We start from the raw sequence: 23,251 nt of genomic DNA, 5'->3' as shown, positions 1-23,251 counted from the left end.
CTATTGTAAATGGGATTGTGATCTTGATTTGACTCTTAGCCTGGACATTATTGGTGTATACAAATGTTACTGATTTTTATACATTGATTTTGTATACTGAAAACTTATTAAAATAGCTTATCAGTTCTAGCAGTATTTTGGAAGAGTCTTTGGAGTTTTCTAGGTATAGAAGCGAAGAGAGATAGCTTGATAACTTATTTTCCTATTTGGATGCCTTGTATTTCTTCCTCTTGCCTGATTGCTTTGGCTAAGACTTCCAGTACTAGGTTGAATAGGAGTGGTTAGAGTGGGCATCCTTGTCTTATTTCAGTTCTTAAGGGGAATGCTTCCAGCTTTTGCCCATTCAGTATGATGCTGGCTGTGAGTTCGTCATAGATGTCTCCTATTATTTTGAGGTATGTCCCTTGGATGATTGTCACTATAAACTGGAAAGCAGAGTCTGTGAAAACAAGGATTTCTCTGGTGTTATTCACCACTTTTTTCCCAATGTTTGGCAAAGAGTGCACAATCGACATACTTGCTGAATGAAAGAACGAATGAATGAATGAGTTGTGAATCCCTGAAATTCAGAATGAAAATGACTCACAGTTTATTATGCAGGTATCTTAAGAATATACTATATATATGTACACATATATATTTATATACACATATATATACACACAAATACATATTCTCTCTATATATTTATATATAAATATATATAATATATAAATATATAAATTTGTATATTTAATACATAAATTTAAATATAGATAGAGTATGTGTGTGTATATATTAATATATAATGTATGTGTATATAAATATATAGAGAGTATATATATGGTGTGTATATACATATACACACCATATATATACACACTATATATATATACACACACACACATACATATATATATACACACACATATTTAGGTTGTCAAGGGAGGTGTTCTTAAATCAATTCCGATCAATTCTGGTCAGAACCACATTCATGACAGGCTATAGGAAATATTTGGACATTCCTTCTACTTTTGTTGCCCTGATGTTGCTCCTCTGTGGTTCATGCTATTCTGCATTGGAACAGTCCCTTCTTTGCATCAGAGTCTGTACTGTAAATAACAGAATGCTCAGGCTGTCGGCAATGTTCCACATGCAGTGTTCATGAATTCAGAGTCAACACTTGGACTTCTGCAAACCCAGCTCTCTCTTAATTTCACAAAATTTAAGGAGGCTCCCACACCTTCCAATACACTTCACCTGCCAGTACTAAATTCTCATAGCCCAGGGACCCCATCTGTTTTCATGGCCAGCTGTCTTCAGGCTGCAGCTACAGGTCCCATCCAGCAACCTCTGCATTCTGCATGGGTGTGTCCATGGCAAGAGGATATGCTTCATACCTCACTCCTTTTGGTAGAAGAACTTGCAGACAGATCCAAACGCACAGGAAACTCCATCGCACAGAAGTTTGGATTCCAGCCACTTCCCATGTGAGACTATGAAATGTTCCATCTGGCTGGAACAGCTCAGAGGAGCTCTGCTCTGTTAACTATATAGGCTTGTAGAAATAGGAACTAATAACAAATCAAGTATTGGAAGCAAACACCAAATTTAAATGTGAATGCTAATTTTGCTTACTAGAAAAATTTCTTATAGATACAAAGGTCAGAACTTTTTATTGTCACCAAGGCAATAGTTTATTAAGCCATCAGTTCATTAAATACAGCACAGAGTTTCATTATGCTCATGCTACTTTCTTTTGCACAGATTTTTTTTTTTTTGAAATGGGATGTTCTTCTCATTAAATTACCTGGGAAGGAGAAATCTATTTTTCCTATTGCAGTATCATAAGGGATAATAAACACCTTAGTACATTCTATGATGCCATGTGGGAAATTGGTGTTTATTGCACTTTTCCCTCTAATTGGAAGTGAGCCAACCAAGGTGTTTCATAATGTACTTGGAGACCATTCAGACCACACCTTGGATGACACTGTTTTCTGGTCACTGAATTAATATGCAGATTATCTCTTCTTATAGCTTAGTAACCTTGTTCTATTTTTAGTTAAAAAGCTTATCTTATAACCCATCTTAGCAGAAATTATTATCCACAGGACAAGTATCAATGTAAGATAAAGTGAATCTTAATAATACCTCCAATACCCCTGACCTCCTTTTAGCCATGAACAATCCTAATTTATACATGTTTCACACGTCTTTTCATAAAGAAATCATGAGAAATAAGCCTCTATTTTAAACTTATATCAGAAATGTCATTTTAGTTCCTCTGTTTTTCTGCTTTCTACTTTAGGTCTACAGGACATTTGAAATGCTCATTTTTATTACCGTATTGGGTATCTTTTCTTTCCTGTGGTTAAAAGGAAATGTCTGTAAGAAACTGATACCTACGATACCAAATGGAATGAAGCTGTGGCAGAATTTTGCATCCGAAATGACTGACTCCTATTTTCTAGCTATTTAATGTCCAAATGAGAACATAAATGGCTTTTATTGCTGAGTTACTAGAAATAGAGAATTGACAAGATAATTTGTCTTTTATTATTTTTACTGATTGTCCCTCTAATCTTGTTATTCATGTTAGAGACCATTACGGGAGTTGTAATATCTTATTCGTTGAACAATAGACCTTAGAATACCTCATGCTAAAAGCAAATTTATGAGAAATAAATGTATCCATGGATTTCAAATGGCAAAGCTGTAACTAGGATTCATCCAGCTCATTTATGTTTGTTTCTGTAGTACATAGCAACACAAAGTCTCTCATTTCTGTATATGAGAAAAACTAGGATTCTACAACCTCGGAATGTAAACAGGTTTTGTTAAAACATCCAGTGCTACTTAAAGAAAATGGAAACAGGAGAGAAAAGTTACCACCTTCTTTGGTCTCACTTACAAACTCTTTTTGGCTCAGGGCAACAGAAATTTTTACATCTATACCAGATGATATCTTCAGACCTCTCCCTTCCTGCTGCCACCTCAGTGTAGGGACAGTTTAGGCAGCATTTATGTTTTAATTCTTTTCATTGAAAAAAAAAAAAAAAAACCCTAACTTAAATTAGCTTAAATAGAAGTGAAAAATAATGGGTTAATGCAGCTGAAATATTCAGAAATCATACTGGCTGCAGGTGTGGTGGGATTAATGGGCTAGATGTACTTTTTTACTTTTTGTTTTGTTTTGACTAATTTCTCTTTCAGGCAGGCTTCCTCCACTGGATAACAATGATGGGCATCAGCTGCACTAGGCAAGAATCCTAATAGCTTTGTAAGCTCCATGAGAAAGACAGCATGTTTTTAGTGTTCTGTCAAAATCCCAGGGAATAAGGTCATCATTTTACCAACTTAGACCATGAATCTATCCTTGAGCAACTCACTGAGACTAGAGGTGAGAGTTATTTGGCTGGATAGGTCACATTAGCCCCACATCTACCACAGGACTGAAAAAGGTGGTTACGGGGCGAGGGCAGTCCACAAAGGAATGTTGCATAGATTAAAGACACACATTCCCAGAAGGAGGGAAGTCCACAAAGGAATGATGCATAAAGACACACATTCACAGAAGTACAGTCTCAAAAACAGAACCTGCTAGAGAACAAGGTCCTCTGATAGTAGTCAGACTCTAAGGCTCTTGTTGACGTCGTGTATAAAGATGCCACACACACAGAAAAATAATTCTCTGCAACTGCTCTAGTCACCTCCTCTGAATATCCTTGTTTAAGGGGTCTTTGAAAGTGCATCACGATGCAGAATCAATATGCAACTTCTTACGTCTTCTGCTTACTAGATAATAAGTACCTGGTGAATAATAATGAGCCTCCCAAGTGCAGGTGGAGGCCAGCTGTTTCAGCACAAGCTGTCTTTGCTTCACATGAAACGTTTCAGAAATTGCACATATGGGGACACACAGACCTAGGGTGGCAGCATTAAACGGAAGGACACTTGTTACTGTCCAATACTCCAAAATATCCACAAACAAACTCTGAGTTTCCATGAGAATAATATAATGAGCTGGCAAGTAATTAATCCCCACTGGTAGTTAACACTAAAAATGAGGCAGAGCTGCCCAATTACTCTGCAGACAAAATTTTCTCATTTAAAAAAATATAAGCATGAAATGAAAACTGCATTTTACATTCTTACTCAAATGATCTAAAGATTGCAAGGACTTTTAATTCAGAGGATTAGCTGAGAGGGCCATGTACACAATTGTTTAGTATGACTTTGGCTCATGTTTGCTAATCAAATGGGGACTCAAAATTTTCTAGAACATCACACACCGGGGCCTGTTGTGGGGTGGGGGCAGTGGGGAGGGATAGCATTAGGAGATATACCTAATGTAAATGACGAGTTAATGGGTGCAGCACACCAACATGGCACATGTATACATATGTAACAAACCTGCACATTGTGCACATGTACCCTAGAACTTATTTTATATATATTTAAATGTACTAGAGATTACCATCCCTATAAGGGACTATTTTTCAAGTCAATTCAATTCAATTACAGTAACAGTATCTCCAGCCCTTTATAATAAAGTTCAAATAAACAAGTAAGCTATGGCAATAGCAAGCAAACAGCTGAATAATTTTAACAGCCTTTTTTTTTAAAAAAAGATTGAGGTTAATGTTAATAGCTTTTTATAATGGAAACTTTACAAACAATTCTTCAAAGGCAAATGACAAAGGCAAGTGGTTTAGAATTCCCTCCCCTCAGAACCTCAGAGAAACTAAGTAATCTAATCCTAGCACTGAAACTGAAAGCTTGCTATCCAGAGGTGAAGGCATATTTGTAATGTTGTATATGTATTATGGTATATGTATCATGTCCATTATGTTTAAATAGAAGACTTTTTAAAAAGTTGCTAGGCATGCTGATTTTGCTGAATACTATCTGTTCTCTTGGAAAATAGATATCATTATGTCTGTGCCAATAAAGGATGGTTGATCATGTCACCCCCTGCTTCAAAGACCAAAATCCTTAGCCTCACCAAGAGGACTCTGGATTATCTGGCACTGGCTTACCTCTCCACCTCCATCTGGTCCCACACTCACCTTGCCCCAGACACTCTGACCATCTTTGGTGTCCTCATATGTGCCAACCTATTTCCTCTGCCTGGAACACCTCTCTACTCCTGCCGCCAGCTCCAAGTGGCCTTCAAACTAGGCAGCCCCTCCATTCTCAGTGTCATGTTCCTCTGCAGCACAACCTGCTGACCGCCTCTGCTTGGCCTTCAGAGCACCTTCCAGGTAGTCTAACTGACATCCTCTCCCCAGCACAAATATTATACTATTAGCTCCATGAAAGCATGGGCCATGTTTGCTTTACCCCTTATTGTATCCCATGTTCGGCTGAGTGCCTGGCACATACTTGGATCCTCAGCATTTGTTAGAAAAATGTTCTGTGCATTTGGGAAGAGGCTGGTCAAAGGGTTAAAAAAAAAAGTTTCATGCAACCTAAAACTGCTGTTTCCCAGTAAATATATTTTGATTTGGCAGATGTCACTATGATTAGCATTCCTTGAATACATCAGGAAGGCCACAGTAAGAGCATTTTAGTAACTTCAGGAAATTCCTAAATAATTGTGAGGTTTCACTGACCTGAGTTAGGTCAATGACAGAAGTTAAACTGAAGCAGATTTTACCCTAAAAGAGCCAAAACTTCCTGTCAGGGAGTCAAAAAAGAAATAAGCTTTATTAAAATGGTTAGGAAGTTTAGCTTTAAAATGGGTATGTATCTAATTGTAAATACGACTCATGAGGAAGCAATTCTCCTACTCCTCAGGGGGAGGCCCTTTGACTACTACCTCCACTGATATTTAAGTCACTCAAATGATATGCTTTGGCATGACAGCCCTTAGAATAAATAAAGTTTAAAAGATAAGAGTATAGATCTAGGCAAGGATGGTATGTTCATTTAAGTCATACCCAGCCTGCCAGGGAACCACATTAAAACTTAGAAAAATATCCCTGATCTATGGGCCTGGAAGTTTGACGTCGGTCCTTCTGGAATCCACAGACACATGAGGTTGAACCCAACAGATTCAGAGCTGCCTCTCTCCATCTAGGGTTCCAGGGATCCAGAGTCATGCATATGGTATGGTCTAAAGCCTAGGCCTCCTGATAGGAAAGGTTACAATGGGTTGTACATGGCACTTAATTCTAAGACTGCGTTGCTCCACATAGGAAAAGCCCTGTAGAAAGCCCACAGAGAATCTACAGATGCTCAGAAACGTGCTAACTCAGCAAATGGCATGAAACCTGCTAGAACCAGTGTTTCCTATGGAATTGCATAGCTGACATCTGGCAGATCAAGCACAAGCGTGGACAGAACACCCTCAATAGTTCTGGCTTTCTGGACCACACCAGTGTTCACACTGAATAGAACTTACTACTGGGAGGAATCAAAGAAAGATTTTAGGTTCTTCATCTACGAATCCCTCTGGGAGTCTGTAAAACCTATAATACATTCTAAAAATGAGATACATAGGATTTCAAATGAAACTAAATGCAATGAGAAACAGTTATCAAATTTTAAAAGAATGAATTTCTGACACAGTCTATGTGTTTCTTTATTAATACAGTTGACCCTTGGACAACACAGGTTTGAACTGTATGGGCCCATTTATAAGTGAATTTTCTTCCATCTCTGCCACCCCAAGAAAGCAAGACAAGTCCCTCTTCTTTCTCCTCCTTCTCAGCCTACTCTGTGTGAAGAGGATAAGGATAAAGACCTTTATGATTATTCACTTCCACTTAATGTATAAACATATGTTATCTTCCTTATAATTTTCTTAATAGCATTTTCTTTTCTCTAGTTTACTTTCTTTTAAGAATACAGTATATAATACATATCACACACACAATAGCCATGTTATTGGTAAGGCTTCTGGTCAATAGTAGGCTATTAGTAGTTAAGTTTTTGAGGGGTCGAATGTTATATGTGTATTTTCAACTGTGGGGCAGGTCAGCACCATTAACTCTCATATTGTTCGAGTCAACTATACTTGAAATAAAAAGTTCTAACAGCAGGTCTAATAATCATATTTTCAAAGTTGTGATGAGCATAAATGGTTTTTCAAAATATCTGCAAACAGCTGTAATGTGATATATTCTCTGTGACTTCTACTGGTGACAAAGTGACAGGTACTGCTAATTACTTATGTGGTTTCTGACCCACACCCATAATTAATGAATATGCCAAATTCCAATTAGAGGTAACAATAAAGATGTCATTTTCTCTGTCCAGGTTTGTGAATTAACTGAATTCTATCCATGTCAGTGAGCTACAGGTTAAAACCACCTATTTTAGAAAGATTTTAGATTAATTTTAAAATCATTTAAACTTGGAGACTATGATTAACTTGACATAAGTTTGGGGTAGGGGGAAAGTTGTATATATATTGATAAATGGGTTTGAGTTTTAAAAATAGAATATAGCATATAAATCAGTAGTATTTTATGTATGATAATGAAAAAATTCAGATTGTATATAGGGTATTTTTCTCACTGAAAAATTATGGTCCCTCATTCCTGGCCTTATATTCTCCCCTTATAATCAGCCCTTCTAAGTACTCCTGCTTTCTATATAAGTGTCTTTTTTTTTTTTTTTTTTTTTTTTGAGATAGAGTCTTGCTCTGTCACCCAGGGTAGAGTGCAGTGGCACGATCTCTGCTTACTGCAACCTCCACCTCCCAAGTTCAAGCGATTCTCCTCTCTCAGCCTCCCATGTAGCTGGGACTACAGGCGTGCGCCAGTGCACCCGGCTAATTTTTATATTTTTAGTAAACACGGGGTTTCACCATCTTGGCCAGGCTGGTCTCAAATTCCTGACTCGTGTTCCACCCACTTTGGCCTCCCAAAGTCCTGGGATTACAGGCGTGAGCCACCGCACCTGGCATATAACTGTCTTAATCTACTTCCAAACATTTACATTGTCCGAACGTTTTCATGAAACTTTCATGGCTCCTGTCCCAGTGGTTATCCTCAGTGATCACCGGTACAGTGGTGAGGTCTATAAAATTCCCTCTATTCCTTTCTATTGCCAAGTAAAATTCTATTCTGTGGAATCCATGACTATTTGTTTATCCATTCCTCAACTGACAGACATCTGGGTTATTTCCAATTTGGAGCAATTATGAACGCAGCTGCTGTAAACTTTTGAGTTCTCTGAGTCCAACCTTAGTCTTAGGCCCCATGGACCTGGGCCTTGGGCTGGCTTTTCCACAACTTTTCTGCCCCTCCCTCTTCATGTGGCACCAAACTATGCTCTATATGGCTTGCAGACCTCTGCTTTGGATAAGCGCAGAACCGTGGGCCCTATAGTTTCTGCCCTTCCCCTAGTTGTGTAAGGCTTTTCACATGAGAGAAAAATCTGGGGTGGTATGTGGGATTTTGTGCCTGTTCCTAAGGGCAGGGTCTCAGTACCTGCACACCTGTGGAACCAAAGGGGGCTTTCTCTGGTCAACTTCTCTGTCCCCAAAATTTCTGATAAGTACTAAGTAAAGGTCCCTGGGAAAGAACTCATGGATGAGCACAGATTTCCCTTGTGTCTGAGGCTCCCAGTTACTCTCAACTATCCTACTGGCCCTCACTTGATTTTTAAGAATTAGAAATTTTCACTAATTTCTTCTTCTTCACTTTTTACATGTTTAATTTTTTTTAATTGTGGTAAAATACACGATATTACATTTACCATGTGAACCGTTTTTAAGTGCACACTTCAGTGACATCCAGTACCTTCAAACCGTTGTGCAACCATCACCACCACCCATCTCCAGTAGTCTTTTCACCTTTCAGACTGAAACTCTGTACCCATTAAACACTGACTCCCTATGCCCCCATCACCCATCCCCTTGCAAACACCATTCTACTTTCTGTCTCTATGAATTTGAGTCAGAGACACAGAAGAGAAAGCCATGAGATGATGAAGATGGAGACTGGTGGTGTGATGAGTCTATAAACCAACAAATGCCAGGGACGGCCAGCAAAACTAGAAGCTAAGAGAAAGGCATGAAGCAGATTTTCCCCATACAGCCTCCAAAGCCCGAATGGCCGTGTCAACACCTTTAGACTTCTAGCCTCTAGAACTGTGAGAGAATACATTTCTGTTGTTTTAAGCTACCCAGTTTGTGGTAGTTTGTTATGTAGCCTTAGGAAATGAAAACAGTATTTCTGTTTACCATATAGACATTGTTGAGATAATACACTCAAGGGTTTTGGTTTTCCTTTTCTCTTTCTAGTAATTCATGATCACTAAAACAAGTTTCTGCATCCTGAATGGACATCAGTCTAATGTGCCTGCCCAGCAGGCACATTATCATTTATTCCCCTCTTCCAGTAGTAACAGATTATAGATTATGCTTTAGGACTATTGGTCAAAATGGCCTATTCTTCCCCCAAACTCTGTCTCTCTCTCTCTCTCTCTGTCCTTTCTAAATGCTGAGTCTTGAGGACAGTGACACAATGATGGAAAATAGCTAGAGCTGATCCATTCCAGCACTGGGATATTATCCTGTCCAAGGTCCTGCTCTTCAGAATTTCCTTCAATTCCATGAACTCCTCCATAACCATCCAATGGATTCCTTTCTGCTTAATCTGAATAGAATACACTTCTATTGAAGTCAGTGAAGGAACTCTGATAAGTTACAACATCATAACTTTGAGTTTTGTTCTGTTTTGTTTTAAGATTTACCTTATTTGGACTTACTACTATTAGTAAGTTCCAGTGAAATTTCAGCCTTACTCCATTCCCTTCCACAAAGTAATCTAAATGATTAGTTCAGAGCTTTTCTATGTAGTTATCTATAATGTATCTATTACTGTTTTTGCAAATCTCTGTGCTTCAGTCAGAAGAGGCAGTTGATGGAAAACTTTTTAAAAGTGCATAGTTTCTAATTAAGCTACTAAAAACCTTTTATTTTCAGTCCCATTAGACAGCAAAAATAATTTAAAAACTGCAATACCAAAGAAAACCTTACCCATAATATTTAGGAACAAACATAATGTGTGCATGATACTCAAACACAAAACTCTTAATACAGTATATAATCAACAGCTATGCCTTAAAGGCTATGTTAAAATGATTTCTCTCTAGGTATTTCTTAAAATTACAGAATATTTTTACCATGCCAGAATGGTAATTTTTTCTTCTTAGTTGTTCATTTCATATTTCAGATAATTAAAAACTGTATCTGAAACATTCACATGACTTTATGCTTTCTCTGTTATACACCCACCAATGTAACTGCTGATTGGAAATTTAAAAACATGCTGGCAAAGAGGTAAAAATCTCACTTCAATGATACTTTAGTCGTGTGAAAGAATACCTTTCAACTTCTTTAGTCTTCTTAAGAATTTAAGAACCTAAATAGATATAACAGAAAATGAAAGTCTGGTTCATTTCTGTGGTTTTTAATTTTTGAACTGCATTGTGCTAAAGTATCTCCCCCACCTCCCATGTTGGAAACTACATATGGAAAAACCAATTGCTACACTGACATACTTACCACAAGCAGACTACATTTTATAGTAGCCTGAAAGCTACTAACTTTAAAAATGCAAAGATATGTGATTTTATTTTCCCATTTTAAGACATTTTAAAATAAGGCACTTACATTTATTTATGTGACTAAACCATTGGATGAATGAAAACAGAAGAAAATATTTTTCACTCAAAGCCATTTATCATGGCTGTTAACATTCTTCTGCTTAATATGTGATGTATGACATCCAGTCACTGTGATCTACGCAAAGGGTGAAAAATAAATGAGAGAAAGCATCCTTAGTCCATTAATATGTTAATTAAAAAAGTAAGATCACATTTTATCTTAGAAAATGACTGCATTTAAGAGACTGCATTCAACAGCCCTAATGGATGATGTAGAATTTTTTTTTTTAATATACATTTAACAAGTTAACCTTTCTGGATTTTTTTTTTAGTTGCCCATGTTTGTAGATACTAAGACTTGTTTGTACATAAATCTTAGTAGCCTTCCTGTAAAGTGTAATTTGGTATGTAGATGAAGGACCAGAGGTTAGTAAGGTAAGCCAGGAACAAAGGAATAAATCACGGGATGTTAGATTAACAATTTACATGATGACAGCTCCTGACTTTTATCAGAAAACAGTGATTCTACTACCTAGTATCTAATGTAAGAAAATATATTAATTTGTTCCTTGAACAGTTGTTTGTAGCAAAACATAAATTCTAGTGTGTACCCAGCCAGTCTAATGATGTAGATTGAAGGAAGAGAGCTAATGGGCACTGCTGTCATTAATCTTGAAAATTCAGATCAATCATTGGAAACACATATTCAGTAATGGTACAGAAAGAATCCTCTAGACTTTAACCATGACCCAGATGAAATAAAACCATGGCTCTAACATTTTTCTTTGGGGCCAAACAGTAACATAAATGCTGTGGTGGCTTCTTATTGTGCTAGCATACAATCAGCATACAAACAGCAATCCCTCAATTTTCTATGGGAAAACACACTTCCTCAACCAGTATATTCCACCTTTCCAGCCACTATGACTGGTGGAGGGCTCTTGACCTGACCAGGGATATTTGCTGGAATTTCTAGGAACAGCAGCTTCCTCTTTCATCTGTAAAAGGTACAGGAAGAGACTGTCCTCTTCACTAGGTTTGAACCTGGGAACATGAAGCTCTGAAAGCTTCTGGCAGCCATCTTAGAACCCTGAAGAGTAAGCCTGTCAAGGACATAGCCAAGATTAAGGAAGAGGAGCTAAGAAATTGCAATGGAAACTGCAGTGCAACTGGTCACATGGGTGTGAGCCCTGAATCAGGTCCTGCTTAGAGTCACATAGAGCTCCCGGCTCCACTTACACAGTCATGAATCATGTCTCTCTTTTTTTTCCTCAAGAAACTTGAGATCAGGCTTTATGATTCTTGAGAGTAAAACAGTTGGAACTAATTCAAGCATAAATGATCACTTGCAAGGGCACAGCTGAAGTGTGGTGGAATTAGCAGAGTACAAGGACAAAGAGGGTGCCAGACATCATGCTAGCATCTTTACTTGCTTATGTCACCGAATCATCACAGGAATCATAACCTATAATCCGGTGGATATGATTCTTAAAAAGTAGTAAGGTAGAAAGTAATTTGCCCAATTTTTTTGTAGCTAATAACTGAGGAACAGAGATTTGAATACAAACTTGGGTGGTGCTAAAGAGAATGTTCTTTCAAAGTTTCCATCTGTTCTGGTTTCCAATTTTAACTCTTTCATTATTCCAATTGATCATATGCATATCAGTCACCATAAATTACAAATAAGAATACATACATTATTTATTTTACAATGAACAACATACAACAGGTTTTCAGATTTTTATTGAATCTGAAATGCTTCAATAAACCATAATGGCAACAACACTAAACTGGTATAAAAACATCTATAAACTTAATAACAGAATTATCAGCAAGGGCCAATCTTCAATTTTCTGATCATCAAAAAATACATCCTAGTTGAAAGACATTATGCATATGGTTTTGTTTGGTTTTAGAAATCTTTACCTAAAGCTCTACTTATTTTCATCCCAATTAGGAAAAAATAAAAAGGCGTTTAATCTTTTTGACAATTTAGGTGAATACCTGAATTGAACATAATTAGAGACCCATCAGTTACCTTTTTTTTTTTTTTTTTTTGCCTCTAACAGAATCTAACAGCTGAAAGGAGAAGCTCTTGAGCTAAATATCGGTTCTTGAGCATTTTTAAATAAACAGAAGAAACATGGATTTAACCAAGAAAATAAGCATGCTCTTGAGAAAGAGGTTTGGATGGAGATTTTGAAAACTGTAAACTAAGCTGAAATGATGCAGAGTGACTACTGACCTCAGGCAAATCACTTCATAATTATCTTCATTTTAAAGATGAAGAAATAAAAGTTCCATAAAGTTAAGCTCATCTAAAGTCACAAACTACTAAGCAGGAGTGCCAGATTTGACTGCAAAGCTCTTGATCTTCCCTAAATGTCTGTGCCTCTTTCCTTGTAAATGGGTGGTTAGTATTCTGGCTCATCAGTCAGTCTTTTCCAAACACATCAGTTGATTGTCAAACCTGGTCAAAACACTGTTGTTCAAATCAAAATTGCAAAAACCAGGCTTCATGATCCAGAAGGCTGAGTTCAGTGTTTTGGTCAGTGGGGTCCCAGACCAAGGTCAAGCAACATGCATGTAATTCTGTAAAACAGACTACAGCCTGCACCTATTACTGTGCCCCCAATGACAAACAGCATGTCTCTTTCACCTTCTTTAGGAGGATAGAGACAATTCTGAATGACAAAATCAGAAGGAACCACATCAGCCATCTGAGCCCAGGATTCAGATTCCAAACGGCATCACATAATGAATAATCCAGAGATAGAAGAGATACACTATTTATAAAGAAGACTGAAAGCCTGGGGAAATGTTCCAGGCTATTTTTTTTCTTAAGATGAATAAGCATTTGTAAACAAAAGTAAAACCTTCCACAAACAAGGTTGCCTTTTTCCTGCATTGCTATTACTTATCTTTAACAATTATAAGATAAAATGAAATTTTAAAAAAAGATATTCTCTTTGCCTTTGCTACAGCATAAATTTCAAAATCTTGCTCTGTGTGTGTGTGTGTGTTTGTTGTTGCTCCTGAATTCAACAAGAACAACATAAGGTGTTTGATAAAATTCTCACATGACCCTCCTTCCAGCTGGCACAATAATTGACATGCCAGAGTAAGCAGCAAGTTTGTTTTTAGGTAAATGGAGCTGCCATCTTATCAATATTTCCTTTTCCCCCAAATAAATATGGTTTCTCCAAACAAGTATACTTTAAAGCATAGGTATTCCCTAGTACCCAAAATAACAAAAATGCTCAGTTCTGTAGTCTTTATATTAATCCCCCCAAAATAGTGACACAGAATGTTCAGTCTTTGAAAGTGTGTGGTTAGAGCCTTTGCTGCAAACACCATTAGAACAAAACTGATTTGAAATTCTGCTTCCTCTAACTACCAGTGCCAGCCAGCCCATTGTCTTCTACCACTGTGGCTATCAGAAGTGCAAAAGGGCACACATCCATTCAACAAGTATCTGCAGGGAAGGAAACCACCTCTCCTTGCTCAGATGTCAAACAAAATCAATAATCATTTGCTAAGGAAAGGAAAAGGGAGACAAGAACTGACCCCTTTCACCTCAAATTTCTCATTTCTTCCTTGTCTAGGCTGTACAGAAATCCATGTAACTGTTTTCCCTTTAATGATTTCTTCTGCCTTCTGCATCTCACCAATTATGTTCTGAAGTCTTTTCAACAATCGGGAAATATCTCTATAATTGCTCCAAATTCAATGAAAATGAATGCCCATCTTATGTTTCTTTGTACAGATACTTTTAGAGATATATCTGGGTATTGCAAGTGCAAGAGTCCCAGTGTCTAGAACAGAACCTGCTACTGCTGAGTTTACAAATGCTTATTGAATTTACAAATATGATTATCACTGGTTCAAACCATATTTATTGGGTTTTCACGTAGTCCAATGACAGGTGCATTCTATCAGTACCAGTGTTGCTTACACTGAAGTCATCTTTTCCTCAGGTCTTTCACTATTCCCTTGGGAAAGAGGAAGCCTCTCTAATAGCAAGAATATGCAATTGAACAAACCAATTCAGTAAATATAGAAGCAGAGAAACTGAGGTTGCCTTTGTGAAAAACAAAGGCTCTCCCCACTGCCTTTTTCCAAGACAGGTACAAATCCCCATTCCACCTAGAAGCAGAAAAGAGCTGTTTGTGTTTGTATGCACAGGAGAAAGGGCGGGGTCGGGGGGGGGGTGGCGTTGCTGGGTGCCCCAGAGTCTTAGCAGGAGTATCAAGTCTGCTGCGACACAAATCCCTGAGGGACAGTAATAGGTAAGGGTGATTGGAATAGTTATTAGAACAAGAAAGGAAGTAAGCAACCCTAATGATGATACCTTCAGAATGAATTCTGAAACAAACCAATAACAAAAATGGGTGGAATGGTGAGACAGAAGAGGGGGTAGATACAACGACCAAATTTTAGTTTCACTAGGCTTCATTGTGCTAATGACAAGGCTTTTACCTAATAAGTGCTCTGAGCTCCTGCATGCAGGGGATATTAGAACAGTATCTTATTACATTTATGAGTGTAAGGTATTGTTCCTCCTTTCTAGGCAACGTATTGTGCTACGGAATCGAAAGGCTTGATGCTTCTCAATACGCTCCATGCTGTCGATTTCAAATGGAAATTAAATACAATACGAGAAAATTATACGACATTCTTACCTTTCTATGTAGATACCTATAAATACTAAGATTTCATTTTGGAATATTTTGGGGTGTTTCAAATAAATATTTGTCTAACATTTTTCTCTGATTGTTCAATCCCTCACTTGATAAAGAACTTACAAGTTGTAATTTTAATTAAATTCATTTGAATTAAAAATTAAGATTATCGCTTTTAAAAAGCAATTACCAAACAAGTTCAGTGAAATTAGTACAGCAGAATAGTTCTGATTTGGTTTTATCAAACAATGTTTACTTAGCTCACATGCACATATGCATATGATTCACCTTTTAGAAATTCTCAATATGTCTTAAGATTTTTTGTTTGTTTGTTTTTTAAAGGCTGAAAAACAGTTCTGCCAAAAGGAAGCCTCTTTAATTTCCTTAAAACAAGTGTTTTTGAATATGGACCATTTTGCAAAGAAAGTCTCTTATTAACTACTCTTGATTTTCAAGATGGACTTCCAATAGGAATATTTGAAAGTATCCTAAAAGGGGTTGCTTTTAATGTTAAGCACATCTTATTGAAAGCCAAGTTTCTCAAATTAAGCATTACTGACATTTGGGCTGGATAATTGCAGAAGGCTGTCCAGTTTATTGTAGAATGTTCACAGCATCCCTGGCCTGGCCCACAAGACACCAGCAGCACCTCTCCCCCAAAGTTGTGACAACCAAAAATGTCTCCAGACATTGTCAGTATCCCCTAGGGGGTAAAACTGCCCCCAGTGGAGAATCACTGCTCTAAGCCTATCAACAAGATCTATCCCTAAAGTGAGAGAAAGTGATTTCTCTTCTTCCACTTTGACTGACATCTCTATTTCTCATTCTGCCTCCTCAAGCCATTTCACCACCTTTACTTTCTTCTTCTTCTTCTTTTTTTTTTTTCTTTGTAATGACTTTATCTTAGGGCAACAAAAATTCCATTGACTATTTTCTAAAGCTTCCCAGGATTTAGGGAACAATCCTCCAGAAAAAAAGTGTCCAGTTAGGCTTCCACTTAAGGACCAGGAACCAGCCCAAGGGTACAATCCTTTGTATTTCAAATGCAGGAGATCGGGAGTAAAAGATTCTCTCATCTCACATTAAATTTAGCATTCTATAATGAAGCCTTTTCCTGCACACACTCAAAAGATCTACCCGGACCTAATCTCTGCTTTTATATGATACCCTAATCAATTTGGCCGACTTTCCCTCTTCCGTGACCCCCAAACAAAACAATACAGGCAAACATATCAGATGATGTTTTATTTGAACAGCATTCTGTGCAGAACAGAATGGCTAAAATGATCATTTATTTTACCTTCACATGATTTATAATAATGACTGAAAAAAATCATAGCCATAAAAGCCAATAATGACAGCAGAAGTCTTTTTATTCAAATCTCCCACCTTACAGATGTCCAGAATAATCAACATATTTCAAAGGGTATATTTCAAAAACGTACTAGCAACTCAGCCAGCCACTGTCACATGGAATAAGAAGACATGCCCTGGCCATTAGAACCATGCTGTCCTCGCTCTTGTGTCCCTCCACGGGACAGACATCACCTTGCAAGACAACTCGTGCCACTGTCCCCAACAGTTTTCCACAGAGTTCTTGTTTCCCTTCATCTGAATCTTCTCTGTGCAATTTGATGTCCTGAACTATTTCTGACGGTTGCACACAAGATCTCAGGGACTGGACCTTTTAGTTATGAGACCAGCCCTCTTAGACAGCAGACAGTAGGTACAGTGCTTGCTCTCCCTTCTTTGCATCCTTCCAGAGTTGCCTTCATCCTCATTTCCTGCATCTGGTAAAGTCTCTCTGAAAATGTGAAACCGACGACAGAACATGGCAAGCTGGATGGAGAAGCCGACAACCCCTCCCCCACTCTCACCCAACGCCGGGCCGGTCCTGTTTCGGATCCTGCACACTGTGGAAGCTTCTTGCTTCCTTGTTTTGGTGGGTGAAATCTTTGCTGTTCAAAAAGGTGTTTTTGCACAGAAATTTTAGGACGTGTTTATTCTAGTAACGTAGTGTTTTCTTTTTTCGCTATATTTACATGTGGAGAACTCCAGGGAGGCCCCCACCAGAGATCCCTTAAATGCTGGTCTCTGTCCCTGCTTCTCGGCCCCGCTGGCCTTTTGGAGCCATCGTGCTTCCCAGTCCGCAGGCAACAATCACAGCATCACCTGCAAGGGGCAGCAAAGTGAACCGCGGACCCCTGGAGTGACGCCTTGGAGATGGACCCTTTGGATTTGGGAACCCCTCTGACGGCCGGGACTCCCAGGATTCCCTTCCATAGAGGGAGTCCACGGTGGTCGCAGCCGGCGGCTGAGTCCTCCTTAGAGTGCCGAATCAGAGAAGACCCGCATCAGGTTTGGGATGTAAGTGGAGAGGGAGAGGTTAGAAAGAGGCATCATTGGATAAGCAAAGAATGCTACCCTGGGAAAAGGAGGCAGAAAAGACGTAGGGAAGTATGTTCCCCTTAATCCCTTCCCCGTGCCGCCCGTAGATCCCTGGATCTTCTTGTCACGGAGACAGGCTGCAGCCACACACGCGACCCCGGGCCGGAAACATGCACACGCGCGCGCACACACGCACACACACGCCCCGCTGCGAGTTGCACGCTGCAGACTTCTGCCTGACTTCCCGGCCAAAAACACCGCACCTCTGGGGCCAGACCACGAATTCCTGTGGCCTAGAACTGACACCACTCCCCCTACCCCCGCAATACACACATTCAGACCCTACACTGCACCCTGAGCGTGCCGGGAACCACTGAACGGAAGCCCGAGCAGCTCCCCCCGTAAACGACTACCTTCCCCACTGCCTAATGTCTATTTAAATCTCCTAAAGCTCGCCTACAGCGAGCCGAGGTGCGTCCAAGCCGGGTAGTAGACGGAGGAGGAGCCAGGGGTGAAAGTGAACCTCAGATAACAGTACTAAATCACTATTCAAGGGGCGGCACGGGGAAGCCTCCAACCCTCTCCTGAACCTTTCAGGCCCTACCAGCAGCCCAGTTCCTCCGCCCGATACTGCACAGCTCCCCCCCTCTTCACCCAAATCCCTCAGCGATTTTCCAGTCGGCCCTCCAGGCCACTTTCTACATCCATCCTTTCCCCAGCCAGTTCCCAACATGTGGCCTCGGGTACTCTAGCGGGAGACAGATTCCAGGCTGACTCCATCATGATGTGCCCCCTAGCCTTTTACTGATTCCCCAAATTATCCGAATCCACTCGCCCCTCCGGAGCCCACTGTCCCTTCCACCGGCGTCCTTTGCTCTCGTCCAAATCCGCTTTCCACGCGCCCCACTTTCCACCCATCCTCCTGCCGTTCTGTTCAAGACACGCTTGCCCTCCACTCTGCGCCCCCAACACTGCTCTCACGCTGCTCCCACTCTATCCCCCGGCGACACCCCCACTTTCCTTCTGCGGCTGTCCCTGGCCGGGCTCCCGCGCCCCAAACCCAGCCTCCCCGCCCGGTCTCCTCCCTCGCCGCCCGGTCTCCTCCCTCGCCGCGCGGTCTTTCCTTCTTCCCAAGTCCGCCCTCTGGGCCCCCGCTGGAGCTAGTTCTGCCCTCCTGCTCTGCCCGTCGTCCCCGCTCGAGCATCCCAATGGCCACCCGCTTTCAAATTGGCTAAGTGGCTCGGAGAGGCGCCAGGCACAGGGGGCAGAGGCCAGCCGGCTCTCCCGGGCGCCAGCCGCGCCTCTCGCTATCCCTCCTGGACTCCCCCGGGCGCCAAGCCCTCGCCCTAACGCCCAGCAGCCTCACAAACTTACTTGCGGGTCGCCAGGAGGGGGCTGCGGTGAGCGGCGGCGGGCCCCGCGGCGGCGAGTGCGCCCCTCTCGGCGGGGCTGGGCGGCGCGGCGCCGGCGCTGAGCTCCTGTGGCCGCGAGGTGAATGGGCTCAGCCTGACGCAGCCCAGCTCTAGCCCCGCTGCTGCCGGCGCCGCTGAGCGCTTGCAGACATGCTCAGTTTCCGGACCTGCCCGCGTGGAAGCTACCAAGAGCCGGCAGCGGCGGGGGAGACTGAGAGGAGCCGTGGGGCGCCGCGAGCCGGAGGCTACCACGCCGGGGGCGGGGGGAGGCACGCACCGCTAAAAATAGCTCCTGCGGAAGCCACGCTGGCTTAGCGCGCACCCCTCCCCGCGCGCGGCCCCTCTGGCTGGGGTTCGGGTTTCTGCTCTGGCTACCGCGGTGGGGACCCCAGCTCGCCGAGTCCTGCCAGGCGTCTGCCTGCACTAGGATCCCCATCCCGGTGGAGACGGCGCCTCCAGTTCAGGCGCCCACTCGAATAGCCTGGACTAAGCCAGAGCTGCCCCGATTTCGGGGTCCCGCCTGTCGGGCAGCTCTAATACTAGGCTCTCCCTAGAGAAGCAGAGGAAAGTTTTGTTAAAGCGATAAAAAAGCTTCTGCAAGGAAAGCTGCAAGGAAATTTGTTCAGATTTACGGAGGAAAAAAATGTTCTTCAGATGCTTTGGTTGCTGGGAAAAACAAGGAGGAAAGGAAGGCGAAGTCTGACAGCCTAGAAAGGGACCCAAGGCAGCTTGGAGCGGGCTGAAGGGGGTTCTGCAAAGAGCTTCTAAAATTCAGAATTCTTTGCAAGGCGTTTGTGACTCCTCATTCCGCAGTGTTTTGCATAATTCGTTGACACCCCACCCTGACCTTGGAGATTTTCTTGTTCCTGTCACCTGAACTGTAATTTACTTTCTCCGCATGCTGCCTTCACTCCTTCCCCCTCCAACCCGGTTTTAAATTGCAAAACGAAAAGGGCGCAAACTCTGGATGGGTAGATTCCCAGACCTGAACTGGAACCTGGCTGTTCTGTAACCCTGAGGAAAGGAGCTGGTCCTGTTGCCGAGTTCGGGATGTATCCCAGATCTCCTGTGCATCCAGCAAACACTTCAAGCGTAGGAGCCTTTCAGCCACCTCACCTGCAAATTAGCTATTTCCCGCTATTAGTGTTCACTCTATTCTACCTTAATTTCTGATCATTTATTATTATTTTTTAATTCTGTTCTTTAAAGTAAGAGGTACAGATATTTCCTGGGTCAAATTTCCGTCTTGTTTCACTCACCTCTCACAGCCACCCAATGAGAGAATCATTATTATTCCCATTTGACAGACAGGGATGTTGAAATTTAGCGACAGGAGCTCATCGCTTGTCTGGAATAATAGAGTGTTGAACCTAGGGTCGGCCAGACTAGAAACTTTCATGGTTTCCGCATAACCTATTTCCCCGAGTCAATAGCTTTACCTGAGATAAGGGATCAAGAAAATTAGATACTATTCTGAGTGGCGTGGCGTGTCAACAGTAAGCCGATTGATAAGCCGATTGCGGGTTTTGTTCTCCATTATTTTTACCTAATTTCTTTACGAGCATTCGCAGCTTAAATTTTCTGTTATGTTGAAACTGATAGCGTTTAATTTTTATTCTATCAGAAAGATTTTACTGAGAATCTTCTACAAGCAATGTATAGACTAGGTATGTATTTTATAATTATCTCAGTTCAGACTCTGTGATAAAGCTACTTTGTTTTCCCAGTATTATAAATTAGTTAGACTTTGCTAACCCTACTAAGTAATGTACATGTGATTTTTTCATAGAACTGTAGTGGAATCTGTCTATTTGGGTCAAGATGTCCTCCCTCCTAAGATATTTGCGCCCTTCCATCCCCACTTGCAATTTAGTGCCATGTGCACCCCAAAATAAGTAATCAATTAAGGTTTGATCTTTTACTTTTTTACTGAAGCTGCAAATATTATCTGCAGGACCAGGGCCACTTTATAATGACAACATCATGTTTCTAATTTTCCATAGGTGATTCATTGGGAGATCAAAATGTGAATTTCCTTAGACTATCAACACAAATCATTCCTTTCTATCAGTGGTGAAGGAAGGTGAAAAATAAACTTTACTTTCATCCTGGTTGCTTTCATTCTTCCTCTTTCAGTAATTATTCTTAAGGTGGTATGGCACTCTGAACATCTTCATGCTACAGCATGCACACTACCCATAATCATGAAACAGGGAAAATCTTGATTTCAAAGTCTCTTTGGTGTCCTATGGAAAAGTGTAGCTCAAAAACGTACTGCATTGAGGACTCGAAGTAACAAGTGACAGGGATGCAATTCTAACTTAGGCAGAGAAAATGCATTGACCCGTGTAACTCAGAAGTACTAGAAATAGCAGGGCTTGTCCTGGGCTTAACAACATTAGGAAGAATATGATTTTCTCTTTCTCTAACTTGCTTTCGGCATTGCTTCCTGTGTTGGTTTCATTCCCCTCACATTATGTCCATAGTGCCAGCCCTACACAGTTGACAAATTTTGTAACCTTACAAAGAAATCAAGTCTCTTGTTCTGTTGAGCAGATCAATCTTTGAAGGTGTACTCTTATTGGCTGTCCTGGCTCACACAATCAACCACCTGCATCCTCTTGGGGATGAAAGATTCTCAAAAGGGAAAAAAGTATTTGGTTAGCAAAAGAAGGAATAGGGGATGTTTGCAAGATGGAAATAATGGATAACCAGTAAACTCATAGACTGGCCTGTTTCCCCATGGACAAAAAAAGGACAGCAAGTGTGTTGGGAGGTCCGTTGGTTTCAGTTATTCAGAAATGAGCAAGATAATAATAATGCTTTGAAGTGAACTTTTCCCATCTCTTTTTAGGCTCAGTTGCTTTGATTTGCCTGCCTAAGGGTAACAGAGAGTCCCCTCTTTGTTGCCTTTTCATCTTTATTTCAGGGCCCTGGTTATTTCCAAGGTGGTGCCACTCATTAAAGACAGCTAATGAGCCACCCAGCCAACTGACGCTTTCAGTCCCCAATCTGTCTCTGCAGGAAAAGGATGTTTTCCATATTATTAAAGCCCATTTTTTTTGTTTTGATCTAATGTACTTGATCATTATGTAAACCATTTGATAATAAAAAGTGGGGGTTTTCCCATTGTGCCTCAAAACATGAACAGATGGGGGAAATGCTGCTGTCCTTATAGTTTTGTATTATTTCTTATGCTAGAATTATTTGAATAATTGGCTGTCTTTTTTCCCTTTACTTATCTTATGCAATTTGTTTGTTACCTCCTTTAATATTTGTTATTCTAGGAATAAATCAATGCAATCCATGAGTCATCTCATTTAAACTGCATTCTATAGTTACGTTAAACTTATCAAATCCAGGATCTTTTCCTTGAACTTCTTCTCATGACTTTGTACATTGTCTTCTAGGAACTCCTCCCTTAGCTCTGTCACACCACAGCAAACATATTTTTTTTTTTTTCTCTGAAACGGAGTCTCACTCTGTTGCCCAGGCTGAAGTGCAGTGGCACTATCTCAGCTCACTGCAACCTCTGCCTCCAGGATTCCAATAATTCTCCTGTCTCAGCCTCCCACATACCACATCTTAACCTACACCTCAGATTATTCTTCTTTTCTTCTCCTAGTTCTCATCTCTGTAGTTCTTTGTCCCTCTCTACACCACACTGCCTTTTTGTTTTAGTTATCTACATACTTGCTTCTCCTCCCCCACTAAACGGCAAGTTTCTGGAGGATTGGGGCAATGGCAAATTTATATTTGTGTGTATTTTATCTTCGTCAGTGCTCAAATAGGTGCTTGCTGATGCATTGAGGGATTATAGGACAGGAAGTGAATATTTAAGTCTGAAACGGGGAATGCATGAGGTGGGCACTAAGTCATCTGCTTTCAGGGAGTCAAGGAAACATGGAGAGAGCTGATGCTGGAGGTAGGCTGACATGCAATATACACTACTTCTTTCACCATTTTGTGTAGGGATACCTCTGTATAGTCCGTTCTTTTCTCCTTTACTTTGTCTTACTTTGAATTCCTTCACTGAGATCTATGCTACACTGCCAAGCATCTGGTATACTTCCAGGTATTGGCACTGACCACTGAGCATATTCTCCTTCCATTGCACAGAGGCAAACCATTTTAGATACTTGGACACTAGCCTGTCTTTCTGTT

At 40.7% G+C, this 23,251-nt stretch overlaps 1 protein-coding gene across 2 annotated transcripts in view, besides 2 other annotated features; it reads right to left on the bottom strand.

Moving 5' to 3' along the window:
* Positions 1-19,239, bottom strand: part of OXR1 (oxidation resistance 1) — a 482,517-nt gene extending 463,278 nt beyond the window's left edge. The window contains exon 1 of one of the 2 annotated variants that reach the window (NM_018002.3): positions 19,050-19,239. The gene's annotated coding sequence lies outside the window, so the exon portion shown is untranslated. The remainder of the gene's footprint in view (positions 1-19,049) is intronic. The other variant, NM_001198533.2, reaches the window with a different exon arrangement.
* Positions 18,873-19,232: a silencer, noted in NCBI's record as "silent region_19464". NCBI's record gives its function as "represses an Ori minimal core promoter by ATAC-STARR-seq in GM12878 lymphoblastoid cells {active_cell/tissue: GM12878}" and the evidence as "EXISTENCE:reporter gene assay evidence [ECO:0000049][PMID:35858748]".
* Positions 19,253-19,502: a silencer, noted in NCBI's record as "silent region_19463". NCBI's record gives its function as "represses an Ori minimal core promoter by ATAC-STARR-seq in GM12878 lymphoblastoid cells {active_cell/tissue: GM12878}" and the evidence as "EXISTENCE:reporter gene assay evidence [ECO:0000049][PMID:35858748]".

The sequence above is a fragment of the Homo sapiens genome, chromosome 8 (assembly GCF_000001405.40).
Source record: "Homo sapiens chromosome 8, GRCh38.p14 Primary Assembly".
Lineage (NCBI taxonomy): Eukaryota > Metazoa > Chordata > Mammalia > Primates > Hominidae > Homo > Homo sapiens.
The sequence above is the reverse complement of the archived record's forward strand: the minus strand, read 5'-3'. Positions and strand labels throughout refer to the sequence as shown.